The sequence below is a fragment of the Homo sapiens genome, chromosome 12 (assembly GCF_000001405.40).
Source record: "Homo sapiens chromosome 12, GRCh38.p14 Primary Assembly".
NCBI lineage: Eukaryota > Metazoa > Chordata > Mammalia > Primates > Hominidae > Homo > Homo sapiens.
In genome coordinates this window covers 7947668-7967098 of record NC_000012.12, presented here as the reverse complement: position 1 = coordinate 7967098, position 19431 = coordinate 7947668, and the positions used below count along the sequence as shown (strand labels likewise).

General features: G+C 45.6%; 1 long non-coding RNA gene across 1 annotated transcript, besides 3 other annotated features; it reads left to right on the top strand.

The window, feature by feature from the left end:
- The first annotated feature begins 77 nt into the window (after positions 1-77).
- Positions 78-3485, top strand: LOC124902871 (uncharacterized). The gene is made up of 2 exons (XR_007063198.1): positions 78-1912; positions 2091-3485. It is a non-coding gene; the product is annotated as an uncharacterized LOC124902871 (long non-coding RNA).
- Positions 6056-6390: a transcriptional cis regulatory region, noted in NCBI's record as "candidate enhancer chr12.445 targeted for multiplex CRISPR interference". NCBI's record gives its function as "positively regulates SLC2A3 gene expression with high confidence in K562 cells {active_cell/tissue: K562}" and the evidence as "EXISTENCE:mutant phenotype evidence [ECO:0000015][PMID:30612741]".
- Positions 7163-7288: a transcriptional cis regulatory region, noted in NCBI's record as "candidate enhancer chr12.444 targeted for multiplex CRISPR interference". NCBI's record gives its function as "positively regulates SLC2A3 gene expression with high confidence in K562 cells {active_cell/tissue: K562}" and the evidence as "EXISTENCE:mutant phenotype evidence [ECO:0000015][PMID:30612741]".
- Positions 8224-8333: an enhancer, noted in NCBI's record as "active region_5923". NCBI's record gives its function as "activates an Ori minimal core promoter by ATAC-STARR-seq in GM12878 lymphoblastoid cells {active_cell/tissue: GM12878}" and the evidence as "EXISTENCE:reporter gene assay evidence [ECO:0000049][PMID:35858748]".

Below are 19431 nucleotides of genomic sequence, written 5' to 3'. Positions count from 1 at the left end.
CAGGAGAATGGCGTGAACCCGGGAGGCAGAGCTTGCATTGAGCCGAGATCGCGCCACTGCACTCCAGCCTGGGCGACAGAGCAAGACTCCGTCTCAAAAAAAAAAAGAAAAGAAAAAAAAAAAGATCTGATAGTTGAAAGGTGTGTGGTGGTCTCCCCCCTGCCCTCTGCCACCTCTCCTGCTGCAATGTAAGACGTGCCCTGCTTCCCATTTCACCATGATTGTAAGTTTCCTGAGGCATCCCCACCCATGTGAAACTGTGAGTCAATTAAAGCTTTTTTTTTTTTTTTCCAGAGTCTCCCTCTGTCGCCCAGGCTGGAGCGGAGTGGCGTGATCTCGGCTCACTGCAACCTCCGCCCCCGGGTTTAAGCAATTCTCCTGCCTCAGCCTCCAGAGGAGCTGTGATTACACATGCTTGCCACCACGCCCGGCTAATTTTTGTATTTTCAGTAGAGATGGGGTTTCACCACGTTAGCCAGGCTGGTCTCGAACTCCTGACCTCGTGATCAGCCCAACTCGGCCTCCCGAATTGCTAGGATTATAGGCGTGAGCCACCACACCCTACCAAGCTTTTTCCTTTATAAATTACCCAGTCACAGGTAGTTATTATTTTTTTTTTTTTGAGACAGAGTCTTGCTCTGTTGCCCAGGCTGGAGTGCCATGGTGTGATCTCAGCTACTGCAACCTCGGCTTCCTAGATTCAAGCCATTCTCCTGCCTCAGCTTCCCAAGTAGCTAGGATTACAAGCATGCGCCACCACGCCCAGCTAATTTTTGTATATTTAGTAGAGATGGAGTTTCATTCACCATGTTGGCCAGATTGGTGTTGAACTGACCTCAGGTGATCCACCCACCTTGACCTCCCAAACTGCTGGGATCATAGGCATGAGCCACTGCACTCAGCCTCACGTAGTTCTTTGTTGTTGTTGTTTTGTTGCTGTTGTTGTTTTTTCAGACGAAGTCTCACTCTTGTCCCCCAAGCTGGAGTACAATGGCGCGATCTCGGCTCACTGCAACCTCCGCCTCCCGGGTTCAAGCAATTCTCCTGCCTCAGCCTCCCGAGTAGCTGGGATTATAGGCGCCTGCCACCATGCCCGGCTAATTTTTGTATTTTAAGTAGAGACGGGGGTTTCACCATTTTGGCCAGGCTGGTCTCGAACTCCTGACCTCAGGTGATCCGCCCGCCTCGGCCTCCCAAAGTGCTGGGATTACAAGTGTGAGCCACCGTGCCCGGCCGGCCTCAGGTAGTTCTTTATAGCAGTGTGAAAATGGAGTAATAGAGAGCTGAGGCAGGAGGATCACCTGAGGCCAGGAGGTGAGGCTGCATGAGCTGTGACTGCACCACTGCACTCCAGCCTGGGTGACAAAGTGAGACCCTATCTCAAAAAAACAAAACAAAAGACATATTTATTTTAAAAATAAATAAATAAACTTTGTAGGACTTTGTTTAGACATGTTTACCATATGACATATGTGTCTTTAGAACAGCGTCCAGCATCTTGTAGAAGGACAATCATTACAAAGTTCAAGCACGTTCTGCTTTAAACACACCTATTGTGCCACACTAAAATCTGAATTTGTGAATAAATGAACTAAAACAATCATATTATAAAACTACACAGGACTTTAAAGCGTCATGTAGGATGTGACTTTTTTATTACAGGCTCCCATAATGTATTTAGAAATATGACTCAGGATCTATCCATGATAACAGTCAGTATAGGATAAACAAGTTAGTAATTTATGTTTAATAATGTATTCTATTTATTTTATTTTATTTTATTTTTTGAGCTGGAGTCTCACTCTGTTGCCCAGGCTGGAGTGCAGTGGCACGATCTCAGCTCACTGCAAGCTCCGCCTCCCGGATTCAAGCGATTCTCCTGCCTCAGCCTCCCGAGTAGCTGGGACTACAGGTGCGTGCCACCACGCCCAGCTAAATGTATTCTATTTATAATGGTTTATTCAGGGACTAATTCCACTAAAGTTATTATTCCTGCGCTGTTCTCCACATCTGTTTTCTTCACCCACACTTCATTAGGTAGATGGGTGATGATAGTGGTAATTTTTGTGTTTTTTTTTTTCTTTTTTCAGATGGAGTTTCGCTCTTGTTGCCAGGCTGGAGTACAGTGGCCTGATCTCGGCTCACTGCAACCTCTGCCTCCTGGGTTTAAGCAATTCTCCTGCCTTAGCTTCCTCCTGAGTAGCTTGGATTACAGGCATGCGTCACCATGCCCGGCTAATATTGTATTTTAATAGAGACGGGATTTCACCATGTTGGCCAGGCTGGTCTCGAAGTCCTGACCTCAAGTGATCCGCCCGCCTCATCCTCTCAAAGTGCTGGGGTTACAGGCATTAGCCCTCACGCCTGGCCAAATGCAGTCTTTTCACCACCTTTTTGGATCACAGAAAATGACCATGAAGCTATGGAAAAAAGGGAGAGTTGAATTTAAGATTAGCTGTCAGCCCATCTTTCATTAGCCATTTCTCTAATCCAGTCTTGAATTTTCCTCTTTCTAGTAATATGGAGGGTAGCACTATGTTCAAAGCGGCCACTGGGGATTTAGGTATTTTAATATCTGTACTATGTTTCTAGATAAGTAAAATAACCAGGTGAATTTATCAGCCCACAGTGAACCTGGGGAACAGTTTATTGAACTAGTGCCCTTAAGTAGAGGACATTCTCAACATTGCTAAGTTTATCTCCCATTCCCTATATCATGGAATGAGAGAAATTTGGAGAAAAAATTTCTATTTCCTAATCTCAGCTTTTTTTTTTTTTTTTTTTCCGAGACAGAGTATCGAGCTGTCGCCCAGGCTGGAGTGCAATGGCATGATCTTGGCTCACTGCAACCTCTGCCTCCCGCGTTCTAAGTGATTCTCCTTCCTCAGCCTCCCGAATAGCTGGGATTATAGGCACGCACCATCATGCATGGCTAATTTTGTATTTTTAGTAGAGATGGGGTTTCCCCATGTTGGCCAGGCTGGTCTCGAACTCCTGATCTCAGGTTATCCACCCGCCTCAGCCTCTCCAAGTGCTGGGATTACAAGTGTGAGCCACCGCACCCCGCCCTAATCTCAGCCTTTTTATATCTTCTTGGTAGGCCCACTTTTTGGCATCCCCTAACAAGAAGTCCTCAGAGATTTTTACTACTCAACATGTGTGCGTCCCACTCAGATGTATTGTGTTCTTTCTGTTCACCCTCTACTTCCCATTCCATTTCTTCCTCTGACTTAGGGTTAGAATGGCCCAATGATCCTACAACTTTTTGATGCTATTTCATTTGATTCCTCTACTGTCTAAATCACAAGTTGGCTAACTTTACTTACTGTAAGGGATCAGATAGCAAATAGTTTAGGCCTTGTGGGCCATTCAATCTGTCATAACTACCCACTCTGACCATATGTAGTGCAAAAGCAGCCCTTGACAATATATAAATGAATGAACGTGAATGTATTTCAATAAAGCTTTACTTGTGGACACTGAAATTTGAATTTTATATCATTTTCACAAGCCACAAAATAATTATTTTGATTCCCCCCCACCCTCAATCATTTAAAAATGCAAAAATCATTCTTAGTTTATGTGTGGTGATAGACAGGTGTTGGGCTTGATTTGGACCCAGTGCCATAGTTTCAGACCCCTGGTTTAACTGAACTGAAAGGTAATCAGCTCTGCAAAGCCATTATTACTGAAGGAGACTCCCCCTTTTTTCCCTTTGACGTTTCTTCTTTGCAGACAGAACACTGATAAGTAGCAAGAGCTTTCCTTCCCTTATCCAGCCTCCCTGCCTGGCATCCTCAACTTCCTTTCACCTTCTCTCTAGAGCCTAAGAATAGAATCTTTACTAAACTCGCGGGGGAGAATGTCTCCCTTTTCCTACAACCCTTGAACAGCCACTTATCGTCAGTCTCCAGATGTCTTGCACCCAGGACACATGCTTCCTGTTTATGACAAGCTGCCTAAGAAGGGGCAAGAACAGGCTCCATTTCTAGGCGTAAAAGGGTAGGATAGACGTGGATGGAGAAAGAGTGGCTATCCCGGATTCTTTTTTCTTTTCTTTTTTTTGAGGCGGAGTCTCGCTTTGTCGTCCAGTCTGCAGTGCAGTGGCGGTGCGACGTCGGCTCACTGCAACCTCCGCCTCCCGGGTTCAAGCGATTCTCCTGCCTCAGCCTCCTGAGTAGCTGGGACTACAAGCGCGCACCACCACACCCGGCTAATTTTTGTATTTTTAGTAGAGAAGGCGTTTCACCATATTGGCCAGGCTGATCTCGGACTCTTGACCTCGTGATCCGCCCACCTCGAACTCCCAAAGTGGTGGGATTACAGGCGTGAGCCACCGCGCCCGGCCCCGGATTCTTTCTTCTTAACATACATTGGATATATTTCTCTTAATCTACAACAATGTAGTATACTATAGTATAGTATGGACAACTAGTTCTGCCCCAAACTGTGGGTCCTTGAGCAAATTACTTAGAGATTTCTTGGTGTAAATGAGGATGACAATAGCAAATTTTAAATATTGTTATGAATTATAAATGAGGTAACAGAAGAAACTGACAGTTTGATTTATCAAGTACCTATTTCTACCACTACAGAGACGAATGTTTCTGTGATGATTTGATTAAGCTCCTCACATCTACTTCGAGTATGTTTGGAAAGTCTAAATTTAGATCGTTAAGAAGAATGGTGGTGGGGGTGGGGCGGAGGCTCGGTGGCTCACACCTATAATCCCAGCACTTTGGGAGGCTGAGGCAGGTGGATCACCTGAGGTCGGGAGTTTGAGACCAGCCTGACCAACATGGAGAAACCCCATCTCTACTAAAAATACAAAATTAGCTGGGCGTGGTGGTGCACGCCTGTAATCCCAGCTGCTCGGGAGGCTGAGGCAGGAGAATCCCTTGAACCCAGGAGGTGGAGGTTGCAGTGAGCTGAGATTGCACCATTGCACTCCAGCCTGAGCGACAGAGCAAGGCTCTGTCTCGAGAACAACAACAAAAAAGAAATAAAACGTAAAAATGAATACATAGCCTCATCCCAGTAGAATTTAAATTCTATGCAAACAGGAAATGGAGTTCTCCTACCACACCATAGTATCCTCAGAATATAAACTGGGTTTGGCAACATAGTAGATCTGTATAAATAAACGAACCCAGACTTATATCCCCTTGTGGATTTTTCAGGCCATTTGTCTTTCTTATTCACTCTTGTTGTCACTACGTTAGTCTGCTGCTGTTTATTAATAGTATCTAGGGGAAGAAGGCCAGAGAATATCAAGGTAAGGTCCACAGCCTTTAAAGGGCCACTTGTCAGGGTATAAGATTTCATGGGTTATCTCTTAATTTTGAATTTCATTTTTTAAAAATTATAAACTTGCTTATTTTCCATTAGCTTAAAGCAGCCACTTACATGTAATTGGAATTAAGCTGGATTTTAAAATTTACCTGGGGTTCGCTCACGCCTGTAATCCTAGCACGTTGGGAGGCCAGGGTGGATCAGTTGAGCCCAGGAGTTCGAGACCACCCTGGGCAACATGGTGAAGCCTTGTCACTACAAATGATACAAACATTAGCTGGACATGGTGGCATGTGCTTATAGTCTCCGCTACTCAGGAGGCTGAGGCAGGAGGATCACTTGGGCCCAGCAGGTCGAGGCTGCAGTGAGCTGAGATCGTGACACTGCACTCCAGCCAGCTCCTTTTTGCAACAGAGAAAGACCCTGTCTCCAAAAAATAAATAAAGAAAATAAATAAATCTACATGGAATCTAGTTTTTGAATATTGTGGTTGTAATCAAAGCAACTTCCCATGTCCGAACACTTAAACAGTTACAGGATTATAGGGTCAGGCCACTGAAGTCAACACTTGTTGCACACATTTTAAAAACAGGTAGAGTATTGCTGCAATAAATTTGCATTGAATCATGCAAGAAGTACTCGAGATTTTGCACTCCCATGAGATTGTGCACATCCATGCCAAACAGACCAAGAACCAAAGAGGATGAAGGAAAACAGGACGCTGAGGGAGATAAAGATGTTGTCGTATCGCTCGGTGGCATCAACAGGAGGATAAATTCCATAGGAGGAGAAGAGAAACAGAAGAACAAAGAAGGGACCAGAGTATTTGATCCGCTTTGAGTGATGGAGCTTGTCGCTCCGGAGATTCAAGATGATCTGCAACTCACGTCTGCACTTGCTTACGCAGCCTTTTACAAAAGCAAGACGCCAGCAGGCGGGGCTAACCTACAGGGTAGATACAGACAGGAAGAAATTCTTTGGTTTCTGGGCCCGCCTCATCCAAATATTTCTGTAACTGCCCTATTCAGCTGGGAGGCTAAAAATAAGAGGTCAACAGCTTGTGTTATTTGTAAGAAAAATGCATAAATTAGGGAAGACGGGTTTTTTTTGTTTTTTTTTTTCTTTGAGACAGAGTCTCGCTCTGTCGCCCAGGCTGGAGTGCAATGGCGCAATCTCGGCTCACTACAAGCTCCGCCTCCCGGGTTCATGCTATTCTCCTGCCTCAGCCTCCCGAGTAGCTGGGACTACAGGAGCCCGTCACCATGCCCGGCTAATTTTTTTGTGTTTTTAGTAGAGACGGGGTTTCACCATGTTAGCCAGGATGGTCTCGATCTCCTGACCTTGTGATCCGCCCGCCTTGGCCTCCCAAAGTGCTGGGATTACAGGCGTGAGCCACCGCGCCCGGCCGGGAAGCTGATTTTTCACTACACAGAAAGATTGTGTGGCACTTGTAAATGAAGTATGTATAGTAGAATATGCATCAGGTCATAGAATTACTACAAGTATAATAGCTAGAAAACTGTATAGTATGTAACAGCCACTGAATGTTAAAAATGTGTTAAATGCCTGTGGTGTCAAATGTATGGAAAAGGAAAATACACGAGTCTTTTTCACTTAAGAGAGCTTTGCCGCTGCTACTTCACATCTCTTCCTCTTCAAGTTGCTAAAGGCAAATGCTAAAATATTACAGTGACCCCTTATACAAGTGAGGGTGAAGAGTTTTTGTCTCTTCAGACTATGGCATGTTCTGAGGATTGTAGTGCTATTTTGCTTAAGTACCTTAATCAGGCACTAATGTTACCTGCCCTTTCTCTTAACTTCCCCTTGCCTGAAAGGAATTGGGGCCTCAGGCTTGAAAGGAGCTTGCTCTTTGTGATTCCACCAGGAGCCGTCCCTAAAAGTGGGAGGAGAACCTCTGTTGCAAGCAGACCACACCTGCTGTTTCCACACTAAGGCTCCTCTGCAGTGGCTTCCTCCCCACTTCCTACCACATTCAATGCCCGGAGGCCAATCTGGCTGTATTCTGAGTCTTGTACTCCTTTTTGAGACTGTGATAAGAGAGTTTGCACCTCACCGCCCCTCAAGAGTACACTAAAATACATTTGCATTCACTTTCGGGGGTATTTGCCTAGTCTATGTTATTTTTTCTTTCTTTTTTTGGGGGGGTGGGGGTGGCAGATAAAGAGGGAACAGGGTTTGACTCTGCTCCCCAGGCTGGAGGGTAGTGGCTCACTGCAGCCTCAAACTCCTGGGTTCAGGGATCCTGCCTACTCAGCCTCCGGTGTAGCTGGAACTACAGGCATGGCACCACCACACCTGGCTCATTTTTAAAGTTTTTTTGTAGAGATGAAGTCTTGCTATGTTCCCCAGGCTGGTCTCAAACTCCTGACCTCAAGCCATCCTCCCATCTCAGCCTCCTAAAGCAAGGTAATTATAGGCATAAAGCACCACACCTCCTAGCCCATTTTAGAACCCCATTTGATAAACAGCATCCTGGGGCTTCAGTAGTCTTTTTCCTCCTAGAGAACTCGGTGAATCTTTTCCAGGGAGTTAGGCTCTGCTGCACTGGAGGGTTACCAAAGTTAGGGAGAAGCCCTGTTAAAAGAATGTAGACCTTTAATTATGAAACACTGTATTGAAAAGTATCCATAGGTCAGGCACAGTGGCTCGAGCCTGTAATCCCAACACTTTGGGAGGCCGAGGTGGTTGGATTGATCACTTGAGGTTGAGGTCAGGAGTTTGAGACCAGCCTGGCCAACATGATAAAACCCTGTCTCTACTAAAAATACAAAAATTAGCCAGGCGTGGTGGTGGGCATCTGTAATCCAGGAGAATCACTGGAATCCGGGAGGTGGAGGTTGCTGTGAGCTGAGATCACGCCATTGCCTGGGTGACAGAGCGAAACTCTGTCTCAAAAGAAATTAAAAAAAAAAAAAGTGCCCATAGATTGCCATGTGCTTCTGGTTTTGAAAGCGTAGATGTGAGTCAGCTAAGCACTTCAGTCATCATGTAGCTGTTTTCCTGTGAGTGGGGGGAGGGGGGTGGTAGCCTGGTGATAGTGTCCCACTAATAGCTACACAGAGAAAGAAGGACATTTATAGCTTTAGAGCACTGCTAGAGAAAAGTTAAGGAACTCAAAGAACTGTCTTCACTTCATGCAAGCAATTATCTGTGTTGCTTATATATTGGCACTTGTATAGAAGAACACTTTTCCCGCTTCTCGGCCTTTTGGCTAAGATCAAGTGAAGATGACTTTTAAAACCCTTGTCTTGTCTGTGATCCTGCAATCACCCTCCTTGGTACTTACACCAATGAGTTGAAATCATGCATCTACATGAAAACCTGCAAACGAATGTTTAGAGCAGTTTTATTCATAGTTGCTAAAACTTACTAAGATGTCCTTCAGTAGGTGAAGGGATAAACTGTGGTGCATCCAAATAATGGAATATTATCCAGTGATAAAAAGAAGTGAGCAATGAAAAGACATAGAGGAACTTTCAATGAATATCACTAAGTGAAATAAGCCAATCTGGAAAGGCTACATAATGTATGACTCCAACTGTATGACATTCTGGAAAAGGTAAAACTATGCAAAAACAGCAAAAAGATCAGTGATTGCCAGGGGTTGGAGGAGTAAGGAAGGGAGGTGGAACATGGGATTTTTAGGGCAGTAAAGCTGTTCTGTATGATATCATACATTTATCAAACCCATAGAATATACAACACAAAGAATGAACCCAAATATAAACTATGGACTTCAGGTAATAATAATGTATCAATATTAGCTCCTCAATTATTAATATAACAGATGTGGCGAGGCGCGGTGGCTCAAGCCTGTAATCCCAACACTTTGGGAGGCCAAGACGGGCAGACCACCTGAGGTTAGGAGTTCGAGACCAGCCTGGCCAACATGGCAAAACCCCATCTCTACTAAAAATACAAAAATTAGCCGGGCATGATGACGGGTGCCTGTAATCCCAGCTACTCAGGAGGCTGAGGCTGGAGAATCGCTTGAACATGGGAAACAGAGGTTGCAGTGAGCCGAGATCATGCCACTGCATTCCGGCCTGGGAGACAGAGTGCAAAACTCTCTCTCTCTCTCTCTCTCTCTCTCTCTCTCTCTCTATATATATATATATATATACATATATATATATACATATACATATATATGTATATATACATATACATATACATATATATATGTATATATACATATACATATATATATACATATATATGTATATATATACATATACATATATATACATATATATATATCAGATGTATCATACTAATGCAAATGTTACTAGTAAGGGGGTTAAGGGAGTAGATGGGAACTCTGTATACTTTCTGCTTAATTTTTCTGTAAACCTTAAACTGTTCTACCCCAAGTAAAGCCTATTAATTAAAACAAAGGCGGAACGCTTGATTATATGTCACTCTCCATCCCCTTTACCACCACGAGACCTTAAAGGCAGGGAACATCTTTTTTGTGTGTGACGGAGTTTCGCTCTTGTCGCCCAGGCTGGAGTGTAATGGCATGATCTCGGCTCACTGAAATCTCAGCCTCCCAGGTTCAAGAGATTCTCCTGCCTGAGCCTCCTGAGTAGCTGAGATAACAGGCGTAGGCCACCATACCCAGCTAATTTTTTTTGTATTATTACTAGAAATGGGGTTTCACCATGTTGACCAGGCTAGTCTGGAAATCCGGACCTCAGGTGATCCACCCACCTCGGCCTCCCAAACTGCTAGGATTATACGTGTGAGCCACTGTGCCGGCCTGAACATCTTTTTTATCTGTATATTCCCAGCATCTGGGATGAAAGAGAAAGGGAACACTATTTTTAGTGCATAACCTAACAACATCTCAGACTTAGCGCATCTAAAATAAAAGTCTTGATTTGACCCTGAAGTCTCTGTCTGCTTTCCTGACTGAGGTAAATGGCAACTCCAGTTCTCCAGTTGCTCCAGCCAAAACCTTTAGGATCATTCTTGACTCCGTTTTTTCACTTATGCCCAACATCTAGACCACCAGTAGGTTGCACCTTGAAAATACATTTTAAATCCAACAACAACCCACTACCAAGTCATTTCTCACCTGGACCAGTAGCCTCCTAACTGGTCTCTATGCTCCCACTCTTACCCTGTGTCTTTGTTCATACTGCTGTAACCAAGTAACACAGACTGGCAGGGCGCGGTGGCTCAAGCCTGTAATCCCTGCACCGAAGCGGGTGGATCACCTGAGGTCAGGAGTTCGATACCAGCCTGACCGACATCATGAAATCCCGTCTCTACTGAAAATACAAAAAATTGGCCTGGCGCGGTGGCTCATGCCTGTAATCCCAGCACTTTGGGAGGCCGAGGTGGGCGGATCACGAGGTCAGGAGATCGAGACCATCCTGGCTAACATGGTGAAACCCCGTCTCTATTAAAAATACAAAAAATTAGCCGGGCGTGGTGGCGGGCGCCTGCAGTCCCAGCTCCTCCGAAGGCTGAGGCAGGAGAATGGCGTGAACCCAGGAGGCGGAGCTTGCAGTGACCTGAGATCACCCCACTGCACTCCAACCTGGGCGACAGAGTGAGACTCCGTCTCAAGAAATAAAATAAAAAATTTAAAAAATAAAAAATTAACTGGGCGTGGTGGTGCGCACCTGTAATCCCAGCTACTCAGGAGGCTGAGGCAGGAGAAATCACTTGAACCCGGGAGGCGGAGGTTGTGGTGAGCCGAGATTGCGCCACTGTACTCCAGCCTGGGCAACAAGAGCAAAACTCCGTCTCAAAAAACAAAAACAAAGTAACATAGACTGCGTAATTTTTGTTGTTATTGTTTTTTGAGATGGATTCTCACCGTGTCGCCCAGGCTGGAGTGCAGTGGCGCGATCACAGCTCACTGCAGGCTTGACCTCCTGGGATCAAGTGATCCTCCCACTTCAGCCACCCGAGTAGCTGGGACTACAGGTGCAAACCACCATGCCCGGCTAATTTTTTGTATTTTTTTTGGTAGAGACAGGGTCCCCACGTGTTACACAGGCTGGTCCAAAAGGAGGAAATAAGGACCTCTGCACTCAAGCAATCCGCCCGCCTTGGCCTCTGAAAGTGTTAAGATTACAGGCATTAGCCACCCTGCCTGTCCTCTGAAGTCCTTTTATATGGGGATGAATCCATCCATGGAGACAGACTCCTCATGACTCAGTCACTTCCCAAAAGGTCCGGCCTTTTTTTTTTTTTTTTTTTTTTTTTTTGAGACGGAGTCTCGTTCTGTCACCCAGGCTGGAGTGCAGTGGCGCAATCTCGGCTCACTGCAAGCTCCGCCTCCCGGCTTCACGCCATTCTCCTGCCTCAGCCTCCCGAGTAGCTGGGACTACAGGCGCCCGCCACCACGCCCGGCTAATTTTTTATATTTTTAGTAGAGACGGGGTTTCACCGTGTTAGCCAGGATGGTCTCGATCTCCTGACCTTGTGGTCCACCCGCCTCGGCCTCCCAAAGTGCTGGGGTTACAGGCGTGAGCCACCGCGCCCGGCTTTTTTTTTTTTTTTTTGAGACGGAGTTTCACTCTTGTTGCCCAGGCTGGAGTGCAATGGCGCGGTCTCGGCTCACCACAACCTCTGCCTCCCGGGTTCAAACGATTCTCCTGCCTCAGCCTCCCGAGTAGCTCGGATTACAGACATGCGCCACCACGCCCAGCCAATTTTGTATTTTTAGTAGAGTCGGAGTTTCTCCATGTTGGTCAGGCTGGTCGCAAACTCCCAACCTCAGGTGATCCGCCCGCCTCGGCCTCCCAGCGTGCTGGGATTACAGGCGTGAGCACCGCGCCCTGCCAAGGTCCAGCCTCTTAATATCACCACAATTAGGATTAAGTTTCTGCATGAATTTTGGAGGGAACACACATTTAAACCACAGCACCCTCCTTCAGCATCTTCTCCATTCAACAGCACATACTTTTTTAAAAACACGAATCAACTGATGTCATGCTTCTGCTCAAAAAACTAAAATGGCTTCGTAGCTTCCTGGCTGTCTGTCACATTCGGAATATAAACCAGAACGTTCATGACTGCTTACAGCGTCCTGCATGAGCAGACTCCTAGCCGTCTTCAACATCATTTCTCCTGCCACTCTGCCCCCGCTTCACTCCACTCCTGCCAAATCCACCTTTTGACACCCTGCCAAGCACGAGTCCTCCTTTTGGTGTCTGCGTTTGAAATGCCTTCTGTTTGAAATGCTGTTTTGAGATACTCCCAAGGTTGACTTTCTCGTGTGATTCAGGTTTCTGTGCAAGTATCATCTCTACTGAGAGAGGAACCCTAACCACTCTATCTTAATCTTCCCCAGCCCCAACCCTTTATCGCCTTACCTTGATATTTTCTTCTTCAAAATGCTCCCTTATTACTTGACAGTATATATTTATTGTCTGCTAAGGCTGCCATAACAAAATACCACAAACAGGTGGCTTAAACAACAGGAATTTGTTTTCTCAAAGTTCTAGATGCTGGACATCCAAGATCAAGGTGCCAGCAGGCTTAGTTTCTCCTGAGACCTCTCCCTTCAGTAGCAGATGGCTGTCTTCTCAGTGTCTTCACATGGCCTTTTCTCTATTCACAGGCCTAATGCCTCTTCCTCTTCTCATAAGGACACCTGTCCTATTGGACTAGAGCCCCACCCTAGTGACCTCATGTAACCTTAATTACCTCCTTAAAGGCCCCATCTCCAAATACAGTTCCATTATAAGTTACTAGGGGTTAGGGCTTCAACATAGGAATTTTAGGACGCAATTAAGTCCATGACAGTTTGCCCTTTGGCCCCCCAAAATGTATGTCCTCACATCCAAAATACATTTATCTCTATCCCAGCAGCACCTAAAATCTTTTTTTTTTTTTTTTTTTTTTTGAGACGGAGTTTCGCTCTGTCGCCCAGGCTGGAGTGCAGTGGCGCAATCTCGGCTCACTGCAACCTCCGCCTCCTGGGTTCACGCCATTCTCCTGTCTCAGCCTCCTGAGTAGCTGGGACTACAGGCGCCCGCCACCACTCCCGGATAATTTTTTTTGTATTTTTAGTAGAGACGGGGTTTCACCGTGTTAGCCAGGATGGTCTCGATCTCCTGACCTCGTGATCCACCCACCTCGGCCTCCCAAAGTGCTGGGATTACAGGCGCGAGTGAGCCACCGCGCCCCGCAGGCCCTAAAGTCTCAACCATTCCAGCATCAGTTCCAAATCCAAAATCTCATCTGAATATCATCTACATTTGGTATGGGTGAGACTCAAGGTGTGATTAATCCCGAGGCAAATTTGTTTTTCTAATCTGACCCTGGGAAACCAGACAAGTTATGTGCTTCCATAATATAATGGTGGGACAGGCATAGGCTAGACATTCCCCTTGCAAAAGGGGGAAATGGGGGAAATAAGAAAGAAGAAAGGGGTACCTGGACTTCCAAATCAAAATTCTAGCAAGGCAAATTCCATTTTTCTTTTTTTGTTTTTTGAGACAGAGTCTCACTGTGTTGCCCAGGCTGGAGTGCAGTGGTGCGATCTCGGCTCTCTGCAACCTCTGCCTCCTGAGTTCATGCGATTCTTCTGCCTCAGCCTCCCAAGTAGCTGGGATTGCAGGCTTGTGCCACCACGCCCGGATAATTTTTGTATTTTTAGTAAAGACAGGGTTTCATCATGTTGGCCAGGCTGGTCTTGAACTCTTGATCTCAGGTAATCCACCCACTTTGGCCTCCCAAAGTGCTGGGATAACGAGCCCGAGCCACCACGCCCAGCCCATTATTTCTTTATCAAATGATTTTCTTTTTTTTTTTTTTTTTTTGAGACCGAGTCTTGCTCTGTCGCCCAGGCTGGAGTGCAGTGGCGCGATCTCAGCTCACTGCAAGTTCTGCCTCCGGGGTTCACGCCATTCTTCTGCCTCAGCCTCCTGAGTAACTGGGACTACAGACGCCCGCCACCACGCCTGGCTAATTTTTTGTATTTTTAGTAGAGACGGGTTTCACCATGTTAGCCAGGATGGTCTTGATCTCCTGACCTCGTGATCCGCCCGCCTCGGCCTCCCAAAGTGCTGGATTACAAGCGTGAGCCACCGCACCCGGCCAACTATCAAATGATTTTCTAGCCACACTCACAGTATTCTCTCCAGAACATGCTTTCTCAGTACTTTGCAATATAGATAGGCCAAGAATTTCCCAAATAATGGTTCCTTTTTGCTTACAATTTCTCATTCAGTTTATCTCTTCTTCTCACATATTACTATAAGCAGCAAGGAGAAAGCAGGCTATATCCTCAGCATTTTCCTTAGAAATCACCTCAGCTAAATATGCATTTCATGACAAACAAGTTCATTCCACAAAACATTGGCACAATGTTCAGCCAAGTTTTTTTTGCCACTTTATAACATAGATTGCCTTTTCTTCAGTTTCCAATAACATGTTCCTCATTTCCCTCAGGGAACTCACAGAATCGCCTTTTTATTTATTTATTTATTTTGTATATTTATTTTTCAGAGGGTCCCATGGAGAAACAGAATCACTTTTAGTGTTGATTAATGTTGATATTCTTACCAAGAATCATTTTTGTTGTTGTTGTTGTTGTTTTGAGACAGAGTTTCATTCTTGTTGCCCAGGCTGGAGTGCAATGGCGAGATCTCAGCTCACTGCAACCTCCACCTCCCAGGTTCAGGCGATTCTCCTGCCTCAGCCTCCTGAGTAGCTGGCATTACAGTTGCACACCACCACACCTGGCTAATTTTGTATTTTTAGTAGAGACAGGGTTTTCCCATGTTGGTCAGGCTGGTCTTGAACTCCTGACTTCAGGTGATCCACCCGCCTCGGCTTCCCAAAGTGCTGGGCTTACAGCCATGAGCCACCGAACCCGGCTGCAAGAATCCCTTTAAGGCAATCTAGGCTTTTTCTCGTATTTACCTCAAAATTCTTCAGCTGCTACTCATTACCCACTTCCACAGCCATTTCCACATTTTTAGGTATTTGTTATAGTAACACCCTACTTTTTAGTACCAAAATCTGTATGAGTTAGGGTTAGAACCAATAGGGTGCATACGTGTGTGTGTGTGTGTATGTGCAAGCATGATTGCCTGTGTAGAGAGATTTATTTATTTATTTATTTATTTATTTATTTATTTATTTCATTTTTTTTTCTAGATGAGTCTCACTCTGTACCCTAGGCTGGAGTGCAGTGGCATGATCTCGGCTCACTGCAACCTCTGCCTCCCAGGTTCAAGCGATTTTCCTGCCTCAGCCTCCTGAGTAGTTGGGACTACAGGCGCGCACCACCATGCCTGGCTAATTTTTTTTATTTTTTAGTAGAGACGGGGTTTCACCATGTTGGCCAGTCTGGTCTCGAACTCCCAACCTCAGGTGATCCGCCTGCCTCGGCCTCCCAAAGTGCTGGGATTACAGGTGTGAGCCTCTGCACCCGGCCTGGCTCACATGATTATAGAGGCTGGCAAGTCCGAAATCTGCAAGAAGGGCTGACTGGATAGAGACCCAGGAAGAGCTGATACTGCAGTTGAAGTCTGAAGCCCCTCTGCTGGCAGAATTCTCTCTTGCTCAGGGAGTCAGTCTGCTGTTCTATCAGGTCTTCAACTGATTGGATGAGGCCTACCCACATTATGGAAGATAACCTTCTTTACTCAAACTCTGCTGATTGAAATATAAATCTCATCCCAAACACTCTCACAAAAGCATTTAGAATGAGGGTTTTTTTAAATTTTTTATTTATTTTATTTATTTATTTATTTATTTTTGAGATGGAGTTTCGCTCTTGCTGCCCAGGCTGGAGTGCAATGGCGCGATCTCGGCTCACTGCAACCTCCGCCTCCTGGGTTCAAGCAATTCTCCTGCCTCAGCCTCCCGAGTAGCTGGGATTACAGGCATGTGCCACCACGCCCGGCTAATTTTGTATTTTTAGTAGAGATGGGGTTTCTCCATGTTGAGGCTGGTCTTGAACTCCTGACCTCAGGTGATCCACCCGTCTCGGCCTGCCAAAGTGCTGGGATTACAGGCGTGAGCCACCTCGCCTGGCACTGGAATGAGGTTTGACCACATATCTGGGCACTGTAGTCCAACCAAGTTGACACATAAAATAAAATATCACAAATATCTTCCGTACTGAAATGTAGATGTTGGGCACAGTGGCTCATGCCTTGTAATCTCACTACTTTGGGAGGTCGAGGCAGGAGGATCACTTGAGCTCAGGAATTTGAGACGAGCCTGGGCTACATGGGAAGACTGTGTCTCTACTAAAAACCAACAAAATTAGCCAGGCATGGTGGTCTGCACATGTATTCCCAGCTGCTTGGGAGACTGAGGCAGGAAGTTCATGGCATCATGCCTCACTGCAGCCCCGACCTCGCTTGAGCCAGGAGCTCTAGGATGCAGCGAGTCATGATGGCGCCATTGCACTCCAGCCTAAATGACAAAGTGACTCTGTCTCAATTTTTTTTTTCTTTTTGAGGCAGAGTCTCACTCTATTGCCCAGGCTGGAGTGCAGTGGCAAGATCTTGGCTCACTGCAACCTCTGCCTCCAGGGTTCAAGCAATTCTCCTGCCTCAGCCTCCTGAATGGCCGGGACTATAGGCACACACCACCATGCCCGGCTAATTTTTGTATTTTTAGTAGAGATGGGGTTTCACCTTGTTAGCCAGGCTGGTCTTAAATTCCTGACCTCAGGTGATCCGCCCGCCTCAGCCTCCCAAAGTGCTGGGATTACAGATATGAGCCACCGCGCCCAGCCTCAAACAAGTCATTTTCTTTCTCTAAATCTCAATTTCAGTATTTAAATTGGAGGTTTGAATACCCATCTCACAAAATTATTGGAAAAATCAAATGAGACAATGTAAGTGAAAAAAAGGCACATACACTCTATAGCCCAAACAAATATTCATTTCTTCAGTCAGTCATTATGCATTTTTTTGATTTATTTATTTTTTACACAGATGGGATCTCACTGTGTTGCCTAGGCTGGTCTCAAACTCCTGGGCTCAAGCAATCCTCCCGCCTCAACCTCCTAAAGTGCTAGGATTCACCATACCTGGCCTTTGAGGTGAGTATTTTATTTTATTTTATTTTTTGAGACAGAGTCTCGCTCTGTTGCCCAGGCTGGAGTGCAATGGCCAGTCTCGGCTCACTGCAAACCTATATTGTCTGTGCCTAGTAGTGTATCTAGAAAACAGTAGGTATTCAATAAATAGTTGATGAAAAATATCACTAGGTCAAGAGTTAGACCAGCCTGACCAACATGGTGAAACCCTGTCTCTACTAAAAATACAAAAATTAGCTGGGCTTGGTGGCAGGCACCTGTAATCCTGGCTACTCAGGAGGCTGAGGCAGGAGAATCGCTTGAATCCGGGAGGCGGAGGTTGCAGTGAGCCGAGATAGTGACATTGCATTTCAGCTCTGGCGACGGAGTAAGGTTCTGTCTCAAAAAACAAACAAAAAAAAAAGAAAGTGACTTGTTTGAATATCCAAACTCTAGTTCATGCTCCAGAGCTGGGCTTCACATTTTTCTGTTCTGATGTCCAAACCTCTGCTTAGTTAACTACACCAAACTGTAAAAATTCTCTCTCCTACCTATTTTTTTCTAGTATTGACAATAAGAGGAAGTAGATAAAGTAATAATGCCAAGTCTCAGATTGTCTCATACCTTTTACATTCTGCTGGGTGTTAAAGAGGATATACAATGAGTAAGGGGAATATTTGTGCAGCCCTGCCCAAGGTTAATAGGCAGTTGTGATCTGCAAGGGAGGTGTCAGAGAAAGAGCTTCTGCTTTAGAGTAGATGGTCATTTCAGGGAAGCACTGAAATACTCTGCAAGGAGTGTCACTTGTTTCTCCAATCCTGGGGAAAAAGCTGTTATTAAAACACTGGAGAGAGTCTATAAACACAAAGATTTTGCTTTGCACTGCAAGTCTTTCAGAATTAGTTTGGCATATAGGGATTGGGGAGATTTGGGGGCTAAATTGTGGGCAGCTGTTGTATAAGGTAGTGGTTTTTTGTATGGTAATTGTGACATAAACATTCACTTCCGCCTCTTAGTAACCTGGTTCTTCCTTTTTTTCTCAGGTCTTCCTTTATCAAGTATAATGATCGACTTACTTTCTAGATATTGATTAGAGCATATTCAGACATTATTGATTCTTAACAATAAGTATAATATATGTGATGTTATAGTATGGTAGAACCATTTTAATCTCTGCTAAATATGAAAAAGTGCTTGTGGCCAGTCACGGTGGCTCACGCCTGTAATCCCAGCACTTTGGGAGATTGAGGCGGGTGGATGATGAGGTCAGGAGATTGAGACCATTCTGGCTAACATGGTGAAACCCTATCTCTACTAAAAATACAAAAAATTAGCCGGGCGTGGTGGTGGGTGCCTGTAGTCCCAGCTATTCGGGAGGCTGAGGCAGGAGAATGGCTTGAACCCAGGAGGCGGAGCTTGCAGTGAGCCAAGATCGCGCCACTGCACTCCAGCCTGGGCAACAAAGTGAGCGAGGCTCAGTCTCAAAAAAAAAAAAAAAAGTACTTGTGCTGGGAAAGGTGTCTCACGCCTATAATCCCAGCACTTTGGAAGGCCAAGGTGGGCAGATCACGAGGTCAAGAGACTGAGACCATCCTGGCCAACATGGTGAAACCCGGTCTCTACTAAAAATACAAAAATTAGCTGGGTGTGGTGGTGTTCACCTTTAGTCCCAGCTACTCGGGAGGCTGAGGCAGGAGAATTGCTTGAACCCAGGAGGCGCAGGTTGCAGTGACCCGAGATCGAGACACTGCAGCGAGACTCCATCTAAAAATAAAAAGTACTTGTTTAAAGAAAAATAAAAATAATTACTTAGAAGTAACAAGGCAGGCCAGGTGTGGTGGCTCACACCTGTAATCCCAGGACTTTGGAAGGCCGAGGTGGGTGGATAGCTTGAGGTCAGGAGTTTGAGACCAGCATGGCCAACGTGGTGAAACCCGTCTCTACTAGAAATACAAAAATTAGCCGGGCTTGGTGGCATGGGCCTGTAATCCCAACTACTGGAGAGGTGGAGGCTCAAGAATTGCTTTACCAGGAGGCAGAGGTGGCAGTGAGCTAAGATCACTCCAGCCTGGACAACAGAGCGAGACTGTGACTCAAAAATAAATAAATAA